The sequence below is a fragment of the Homo sapiens genome, chromosome 5 (genome assembly GCF_000001405.40).
Source record: "Homo sapiens chromosome 5, GRCh38.p14 Primary Assembly".
NCBI lineage: Eukaryota > Metazoa > Chordata > Mammalia > Primates > Hominidae > Homo > Homo sapiens.
Genome location: NC_000005.10, coordinates 25907599 through 25918017, shown reverse-complemented (window position 1 = coordinate 25918017; position 10419 = coordinate 25907599). Strand labels below are relative to the sequence as shown.

The window sequence follows — 10419 nt, the reverse complement described above, 5'->3', positions numbered from 1 at the left end:
TGCTTTATGAATCTGAGTACTCCTGTGTTGGGTGCATATATATAAAGGATAGTTAGGTCTTCTTGTTGAATTGAACCCTTTATTATTATGTAATATTCATTTTTTGTCTTTCTTGATCTTTTTTGGTTGAAGTCTGTTCTGTGTAAAATTAAGATTGCAACCCCTGCTTTTTCCTATATTCCATTTGCTTGGTAGATTTTTTTCTTTATCCCTATATTTTGAGCTTATGAGTGTCATTATGTGTGAAATGGGTCTTTTGAAGATGGCATACGATTGGTTCTTGTTTTTTTTTCTTTTTTTCCCAAGACAAAGTTTTGCACAGTCGCTGAGGCTGGAGTGCAGTGGTGCAATCTTGGCTCACTGCAGTCTCCACCTACTGGGTTCAAGCAATTCTCCTGCCTCAGCCTCCTGAGTAGCTGGGATTACAGGCACGCGCCACCATGCCCAACTAATTTTTGTATTTCTAGTAGTGACAGGGTTACACCATATTGGCCAGGCTGGTCTTGAACTCCTGACCTCGTGATCCTCCCACCTTGGACTCCCAAAGTGCTGGGATTACTTGCCACTCTGTTCCTTTCAAGTGGGGTATTTAGTCCATTTACATTCAAGGTTAGTCTTGATATGTGTGAATTTGATCCTGTAATTGTGCTGTGAGCTGGTTATTATGTTGGCTTGTTTTGTGGTTGCTTTACATTGACCCTAGTCTGCGTGTTTATGTGTGTGTGTGTGTGTGTGTTTTAATTTTATTATTATTATACTTTAAGTTTTAGGGTACATGTACACAACGCAGGTTTGTTATATATGTATACATGTGCCATGTTGGTGTGCTGCACCCATTAACTCGTCATTTAGCATTAGGTATATCTCCTAATGCTATCCCTCCCCACTCCCCCCACCCCACAACAGTCCCTGGTGTGTGATGTTCCCCTTCCTGTGTCCATGTGTTCTCATTGTTCAATTTGTACTAACTAGTAGTGGTCTTTCCTTTCTATGTTTAGTTATCCTTTGAAGATCTCTTGTAAGACAGATCTAGTAGTAATGAATTTCCTCAACATTTGCTTATCTGAAATGGATCTTATTTCTCTTTTACTTAGGAAGCATAGTTTGGCTGGATGTAAAATTCTTGGTTGATTGTTTTTTTCTTTAAGAATGTTAAATATAAGCCCCCAATCTCTTCTAGCTTGTAGGGTTTCACCTGAGAGGTCCACTGTTAGCCTGATGGGGTTCCCTTTGTAGGTGACCTGTTCTTTCTCTCTAGCTACCTTTAACATTATTTCTTTCTTTTCTACCTTGGAAAATCTGATGATTGTGTGTCTTGGGGATGGTCTTCTTCTGTAGAATCTTTCAGGAGTTATCTGTATTTCTTAAATTCGACTGTTGGCCTCTCTAGCAAGGTTGGGGAAGTTGTCATGGATGATATCCTCAAATATGTTTTCCAAGTTATTTGCTTTCTCCCCATCCCTTTCAGGGATGCTAGTGACTTCTAGATTTTGGCTTTTTACATAATCCCATGGTCCTAAGAGATTTGTTCATTTCTATTTATTCTTTTTCTTTATTTTTATGTCTGTCTTATTTCAGATTACCAGTCTTCAGGATCTGAGATTGTTTCCTCAACTTGGTATATTCTGCTGTCAATACTTGCGATTGCATTTTGAAATTTCTGTACTGTGTTATTTAGCTCTATCAGACCCATTAGGTTCTTTTTTATACCAACTATTTTACCCTTCAGCTCCTGCATCACTTTATTATAACTTTTATTATTCTTGGATTGTGTTTTTACATCCTTCTGAATCTCAATAATGGCTGTATTAATGTATATTACCACCAATGGTATATAAAAATTTCCTTTGATTCATATTTTGCCAGCATTTGTTATTTTTTGTCTTCTGATGATAGCCATTCTAACTAGAGTGAAATGGCATCTGATTATGGTTTTGATTTGCATTTCCCTGATGGTTAGTGATGTTGAGCCTTTTGGTTGGCCATTTGTATGTCCTCTTTTGAGAAATGTTTGTTGAGATCCTTTGTTCATCTTTGACTTGGATTATTTGGTTTCTTGCTATGGAGGATTTTTTTTAGCTCATTGTACATTCTGGATACTTGTTCCTTGTTGGACAAATAGTTTACAAATATTTCCCCCATTCTATAGGTTGTCTTTTCAGTCTGTTGATTGTTTCCTTTGCTCTGCAAAAGCTTTTTAGTTTATTGTAGTCTCATTTGACTATTTTTGGATTTTGTTTTGCCTGATCTATTTTGTTTTGATGGACAGTTCAATAGTGTCTAGCTGAAGCTATTACAAATAGCACTGCCATGAGTGAAGGTATGCATTCTAACAATATGTATGCATTATTGGAAGACACACACATTTGTGATGGTTGTTGATATAGTAACCCTAGTAAAGGGTATTTAAGCAAAACTACATATGGTATTCTTACAAGTAATATATAAAGCATTTTAGGTTAAATATTAGCAAATGAAAACTTTCATTTTAAAATTCAAAAGTCAAATATGCATTCAAAATATACATTTATTTATAATTATATCTTCTTAGTTATTAGATGCCTCACACAAATAAATTTCACACAAGTAATTACAGGGACTTTGGCACTGCGGGAGATTGTTTTTTAAAATTTAAGTATGTCATTATTATAACCCCATTTTGCACATTTCTATAAAACACATTCCTGGTGTTTATTTAACTCTGTAATCATAGGAACATTGGTCTTACTTTAATCCCACTTTTTTCCATTTTTTAGCTATTCAAAATACAATATCTATCACCAACACTTGGACAAAATCACTTAGAGAATTCTTGGAAGATAGTGAGGATTCTTGGAAGATAGTGAATCTCAATCCTGTCAACAAAAGTAAACCTCTTTAAAAATACCCATTCCTGAGCCTTATTCAGATTTTTCTAATGTATAGTGAAGAACAGAAATCATTACTACAGTCAGATAGGAAGAAAAAGAGCCAAAGCTGAATCATAGCACATTTTAGAAACAGGAACCAAGCAAAAGGGGAAGAAACACAAATTAAGACAAGAGACAAGACGGAGATTGTATTGAAAATTAAAATTTAGAGGAAGTTTGGGAATTGACTACTGGATTTGGCAGAATGAATGTTGTAATTTTAACAATGGTGGATTAATAGTATGCTAGGATAAAATCCTAATTATAGTATTTTAGAGAGTGGAATGTGAGAAAGTAGAAACAGCCAGGATAGAGGGCTACTTAGGGGTTTTGCTATAAAGAAGACTCAAGAAGAGTGTGAAGGAATTGTGGGGTTAAGGGCAAGCATTATTCTAATTGCAGTTAGTTCATCATGATTGCATGATGATGTGAATGATCTCTCAGGGAGTGAAAAAATGGTAGTGCATGAATGATGGTGCAGGAACTGAATGAAGACATATAGTCCAGTAAAGTAAGGAGCACACACTGTTCATACATTTTAACAAGATTTAAACAAAGTATATGTGCTCAAGGTGCAGTTTTGGGAAAAGATTTGGTGGTGAGAGCTGAGGGTGTTATCTTGATTCTGTTTATTCATTTTCTCTGACAAATAAATAGTGAAGCAAAATTTGAAAAGAAGGAGGAAGACAATTTCATTGTTGTTGATCTGTATTGAGAAGAAAGTTTGTAAACTAGTTAACTCAGATCATAGGAAAAAAATGTTGTCAGTTTTGGTTACATATTCAAATTAAGATCATCCACAATTATTGTCTTTCTTCTTCAGTAAAAACAAGCACCTTGGTCCAAAAAGAGAAAATTAAAGCTCTACTCAAAGGTAAAAAGGTAGAGTCATAAGAATATTTTTTACTAATCAAACAAACAAAAAACTGGATTTGTTGTCACCTTAAACTAGAAAAATAAAGCAATATAAAAATGGAGTAAGAAAAGCGTAATAGAGATAAAATATGAAATCAGTAAAATTGAAAACAAAATGTAGAGATTTATAAAATATGACCCCTCCAAAAATATTTTGAAGCAAGAAAACAGATATAATCATAGATATGGAAAATATTAAAAATTATCCATAACAATTTTTAAAATCCAGAGGAAATAGCTGAATCTCTGTCAAAATTTAAATTGACTCAAGAAAACCATACAAGTTTAATAGATCTATAAGTACAGAATTGACCAAAGAAAAAGTAATTAAAAATGTACATTTAAATGTACCAGTCCAGGTAGCTCCATAGCCAACAACTCACTAAATTTTCAGGAAGCTACAATTTTATAATTACTGAAGTTATTTTGGTGCTCTTCCCCCATAAAATATAGAGTTTCCTAATTCATCTTGTTTGAATCCAGCACTTCCAACATAAAAATACCATGTATAAACTTAAAACTATCAAATAACTCACACTTAATCATAACGATTTAAAAAACATAAAAATATAAGCCAATAATTCTAGAAATGTGCCAACATCTTATTCACTATAAATATAAAGTAAATATAGAAGCACGGATAAGTGAATATAAAAATGCAAAACAAGATGTAAAAATCAGTTATCTGTGTTTGAGGATTGTGGGCATAAGATAATTAATTCCACCAGTATTAAAAAATGACCATAGAAAGACTGCATACATGATAAAATTCCACTAATGTCATATAAGACGTTATTGTTATACATGTGTAATGGGATCACAGGCATTTCTTTCCTTTCCTCCTTCTTTCCTTCCTTCCTTCCTTCCTTTTTTCCTCAGCATTTCACTTTTCTCTTTTTCTCTTTTCTTTTTTTTGTCTTCCTAAATTTTACTGGTACTGAAATAGAACATGGATTGAGCATAAACCCCTCCAAAAACAATTTTTAAAAACCCCAAAAAGTACACAAAAAAACCCTGAATAAAAAATTTAACCTTTCTCCCCAGCCTCCCTAAGGGTAAGTTACTGACTTTAAGGCAGCTATTAATAGATTGCCCCACAATTCCAAGTTTGAATTTAGCCAATATAGGGCATATCACCAAGTGAGTGCCAATATAATTCACAGCAATGCACAGAAGACTCCTCAAGGTCAGGCACAGAGTGGGGGGTGGTGGACGGGGAATTGAGGGAGGTTCTAAGCTAGAGGCTCTTTATGGTGGGACAGGGTGGCCCCTTGAGGGCTGAACCCTGAGGAGAAGACAAACAGGAATAATAAAAACAAACAACAAGTACTTTAAGAATGGATTGTATGACCTATAGTGACAGATGACATCACTAATATGAAAGCTTCTTATATTAATATTTTTGGCAAAATGTCATTTTGTAATATAGTATATGCTTTCCAGGTGTGGGAGTGGTAAAGGAATGAGGCCAAAATGATCCTGCCCCAAGACTAATATCTTCTAATGGTGCATTAGCAAGGAAGACAGAAATCAATATTTAGGTATCAGTAGAATACATAACACTGTAGAAAGAAGAAGAGTACACATGAGACAGAGAAGGAGGTGGAGGCTCCTGGGTTGAAAGCAAGGCGTGGGGGTGTGGAAGGGACTAGGCTAGAATTACCCGCAGCTCTCTGGTTTACAGCTCCAAGGGACAGAACAGCTGGTGTCAAGACCTGGGTTAGAAGTTTGTCAAACAGAGGCAGGGCCTAGTCACCACTTTGGAGGGGAGTGATGAGAAGGGGATTTTGGTCATGTGACAGGGTTGAGTAAACTGGGATCAGGGCACAGGCTTCTCTCACCATACTCAGCTTCTTGCACTCACTCCCTAGTTGAGCCTACAGGCATCAAGCTCTAGATGCCAAGGCCGGGATGGCTGTGGAGCAGGAGCTATAGCCCAAGTAGCTCTGAGAGAGGAAGAGACCTAAAACTCCTGGCAGGGAAAATACTGAAGCTGGGTGTGAACATATCCTCTCTTTTCACAAGAATCCTGATGGGGCTGGCTGAGCTTTTGGGTACTCATCCCTACTGTTATAGCTGGAAAGGATTTGGGTACTGAAGCAGGGAGGGGCAGATCCCACGAAGTGACTGCAGGTCCGGAATAATAAGGGGTAGCTCTGCCCATGGAGCTCACTTTAGACAGGCCTATACTCCTGTAAAGAATTGGGGTAGGATCTTCTACTCAGCCTTGCCAGAATAGAATGGCCAATGGCCTTCTAGTACATTTGGTGAAGCCTCTTGAAGGCACCGTTTCCCCCATCCACCCTGGGGAGAAATTGAGTCCCTAAAGTCAACAACAAGGCTTATTGAGGCTGAGTTTGTAACAGGTCCAATCTGGGAGGTAGAAATAAAAATGACTGAACATCTTTCTATCCCCCAGTCATTACAAAGCCTAAATAACTATAAACGGGATGGGCACTGGGAGGACAAATTTTAGGTTAATTGACAGCCTGGAGCAGATATCCAAGGTCCTGTCTCATTCCCTAAACCGCAAAACACTCCAACCCTGTAAATCTCAGGACCCTGAAGAAGAAGGCAGTGGTAGGGGAGGGGAGGGGAGCTAGCTTCCAACCTACTCCACACTTGACTCCCATAGGACAACAGTAAGTGTAAGGGTATTTGCAAAATCAAATGGAAAGTACCTCTGGGCTGGAGAAGTGGAATATTCTAGCAACACAGATTAAATGGAACAGAGATGAGAAAGGAGGTTCCATTGGCACCATAGTGAGCCATTCATTTGCCCAGGGAAGTGGGTGGGGGCTAAGGGTCTAGGGCTGGTCCCATGGCTACACTAAATGCTTGGCATGACTCCAGGGCTGCTCTAGTTAGTGACTCCAGCACAGTATGAGTTAGGTGAGTTAGGTGTAAGAGTGTGGGACAAGGAAAAAGGGAGGAGCGGTCCCTAGAGGCTGGGTGCCCATTACTTAGACTCAAATTCGTCAATGTGCTGCTTGTTGCTGCCCTGACGATCTGGCACAGGGTCTTGTATTTATCTCGGCCCAGTCACATGTTCTCAGCATGGATCATGTCATTGGCAGTCTTCTTGGACTCATCTCGGGCACTGGCCAGCTCCGAAGTGAGGGCCTTCAGGTGCTTCTGCACACGCTCATTCTTCTCTGCCTCAGTGGTACATTCCTCCTCACTGCGGTCCTTGGCCATAGCATCAGCCCGTAGGTCAGCACTAGCCTCTGCCCCATTCTCATCCTGCTCATCCTGCTCATTCTCAGCAGGCTCTGCCACATGAGATGTACTCATGGCAGTCTTCAGCTCAGCACGGGTCTTCTCCAAGTCTTCCTGTACCATCTGGGCCTTCTGCTGCCACTCCATAGCCTCACTCTCTTTCTTCTGTCGGGCCAGTTCCAGCTGAGAGATTTGAGCTGTCAGCTCTGCCATTTCCAAGGCCAGCTATTCCTGAGTCTTTTTCTGGTCCCGGGAGGCCTGCAGCAAGACTTCCTTGGCCTCTTCAGCTTCTTGAAGCTCCTTGGCCAGCTTTTCAGCCTCGCTCTGGGCATGCTTCCGTTCCTTCCCAAGTTCCAGAGCCCTACGGGTCTGTTCTTCCAGTTCTTGCTGAGCCTTCTTAGTCTGTTCCTCGATCTGCTTCAGCCTCCCCATCAGCTCCTTCTCCCGTTCAATCTTCTCTTTCTGCTTTTCTGCCATTTCACGCTTCTTCTCATTTTCCAGCATAGCACGCTCCATCTGCTTCTGGTGCTTCTCCTCCCGGGCCCGTGCCTTCATCTGCTGCACCTCAATGGTGTCAGGCTTGCGACGGCGCATGTATAGTTCACGGTTCCCCATGCACAAGGCCAAGATCCGCTTGTTAATCTGCAGCCAGGGAGCATAGAAGACAAAGTCCGGGGCTCTTTTGTCAATGGGCTTGATGACAAAGTTCTTATCATTGAAAGAAATGCTCCTGATTTCACTCCAAGGAAAGCCTATCTTGGGAGTTAGTCTGTCATGCTGCTCATAGATGTTGAGACCCAGTGCATCCACCCCCAGCCACAGCTCTGAGCCTTTCTTTTTCTTGATGCTGAAGTAGTTTACACCATACATCTCCAGATCTTGAGCAATCTTCAGATACTCCAGGACAGCATCCTCCCTGAGCATGCCACGGTGTTCCTCATGCCACACCTGGATCCGCTCCTCCCACTGGTCCTTGCTGAGTTTGTGCTGTTCCAGGACTCTCTGTGGGAGCAACTCGTCTCCGGCCAGGTAGCCAGACTTATGCACCTCCTTACTGAAGTTCCCATACTTAGACTGGACAGCATGGGAGGCCAGCAGCACAGCAGTCTCAGGCCGGCAGTAAATATCATCACTGAGAATGCCCTCTTTCACTTGCAGAAGGAACAGACGCTGAGTGGTGTCCTGAATCAATTCCTCGGTCGGACACATCCTCAGGGTAGAACTTGGCACTGAACTTAAAGAGCAGGGGGCTTTCCTTCCGCACTTCCTGGGCAGTCACCTTCTTAATTGAGTTTCAGCCAGGTGGAGAAACCTTTGGTGTCCTGGTACTGCAGACCAAAGAAACAAACTTCCCTCAAGCCAATAGTTTTCACCACCTGGTCAAATAGCTGCTTCCCGGTGGTGTTGGGCTGGATGGTAAACTCCAGCTCTGCGTCCATGGTGGTCACACGCACACTGATCGTTTTGGGCATGGTGGCGGCAAAGGCAGCGGAGTTAGCGAAGTTTAGCTAGGACTGTCGGGCAGTGCTGAGCATGCAGTACACACGGCTGGGATTCGGCTGGCCGGGGACTCAGATTGGGTCCCTCACTAGCGTCGGGGCGACTGTTAGGCTTCCTGCTAACGGGCCACGACTTCACAAACCCCACCCAGGCAAGAGCCGCCTCTGTTGAGCCGCCCGCTCCTTTACGTGGCCCGGCTTCCGCGCCGCTCCCCGCCCTCGCGCCCGCCTCCCCTCCGACGGCTGGCCTTGCCCTGCCCAGACTTTCTCTCTTCAAAGAACATAAATTGTCTATGTTTTGATAAAAATTATAAAAACTATTTATTTAGCTTCAGAGAGCGTAAGAGGGACCTACTTGCAGGTGACCTCACCAGTTGAGAAACCATTTAATTAATCCAATTGTGCACATTGCAAGAGAGTGGAATGATAATGCAGATTTGAGAAATATGAGAGGCAATTATCTTATCTACACAATATCTAAAACTTAGCACGCATTATTATCTGTTACATATAGAGGAGAAAACTGAAACTCAAAAAGGTTAAATTATACAGCCAGTACCTCTGTGGTATGGTAGTAAAGGGCAGTGCTAGGGCCAAAACAGAAGTGTCAGAATCCAAATAAAAGTCAGTGCTTCATTACTCTGTGCCTTGCCTTCTCATATGTAGATGTTCACTGAATTAATGTTCTTGCTTCCGAGAAAGGTTTTATGTTGTTCCAGCTGTGGCAGCTGTTTTGTTATTATAGCATATCCTTTATACACCTTAATTTTTTCAATAGCTAACTTTGATTGCACGGCATATATTAGACACTTCACAATTTAATATTAACAATGAACCCAAAAAATAATATTTCTATGTTATAGAAGAGAAAATCAAGACACACAAATTTAAAAGTACCTCCCAAATTTGCATAGCTAATAAATAGTGGATATGAAAAAGAAAACCATGCAACTGAACTCTGGGGTAAATTCTCTAACCTACTGCTTTGCTTCATTGCCAAGCCAGTGATAACTAAAAGCCCTCAGATGAGCCCAAGTTTATGCAAGATGCTAACAAAGTTTTGACATTTATCCTTGCATTTAATAAACAACTACATTATATGTACAATATGGTATGCACTGTTCTGGGCACTGAATATTAACCATCAATAAAACAGTGATACAAAAAAATACATTAATTAAGTTTTACCCTCTGGACAGGCTTGAGCCTAAGGGTGTAAAGTAGCTAACAGTCAGGACCACAGACAAAAGAATCAAAACACTGAGGCAGGAGAATGGCATGAACCCGGAAGGCAGAGCTTGCAGTGAGCGGAGATCACGTCACTGCACTCCAGCCTGGGTGACAGAGCGAAACTCCATCTCAACAAAACAAACAAACAAACAAAAAAAGAATCAAAACAATTGTTTCTAGGAAAACTGGTCAGACAGCAGAAAACTAAATGATAATACATTTTGAATTGTTTTTGCTAGACTCAACAAACTGAATTTTAGCATTCCACCAGGCCATACCCCACTGTAACCAATCAGTTCTGAAGTGATAAACCAACGGTTTGATTGAAAGGGATTACCTTTCCTGGTGAAATTTGTGGTATTGCCTCTATAAGCTCTACTTTTCACTAGTCACAGGGGCCCTTCTCCTTCATATAAACCTATATACCAGCAAATCCCCAAATACCTTAGACTGGTTGCCTTTCACTTAGATTTTGCAGCTGAGAATCCACTAAGTTTCAAAATGTTATTGATTGATTGATTTGTTACTATATCAAAAATATAAGAAACCTACTTCCAGTATAAGCGACAGAGCTTACCAAACATATTCCTTCCCCAACTCCCACTAATCCCCATGACAGAACAGAAAGGGAAAGTCAAAAGGATGGT

General features: G+C 40.6%; 1 pseudogene; it reads right to left on the bottom strand.

The window, feature by feature from the left end:
* On the bottom strand, positions 4740-8703 carry MSNP1 (moesin pseudogene 1; annotated as a pseudogene).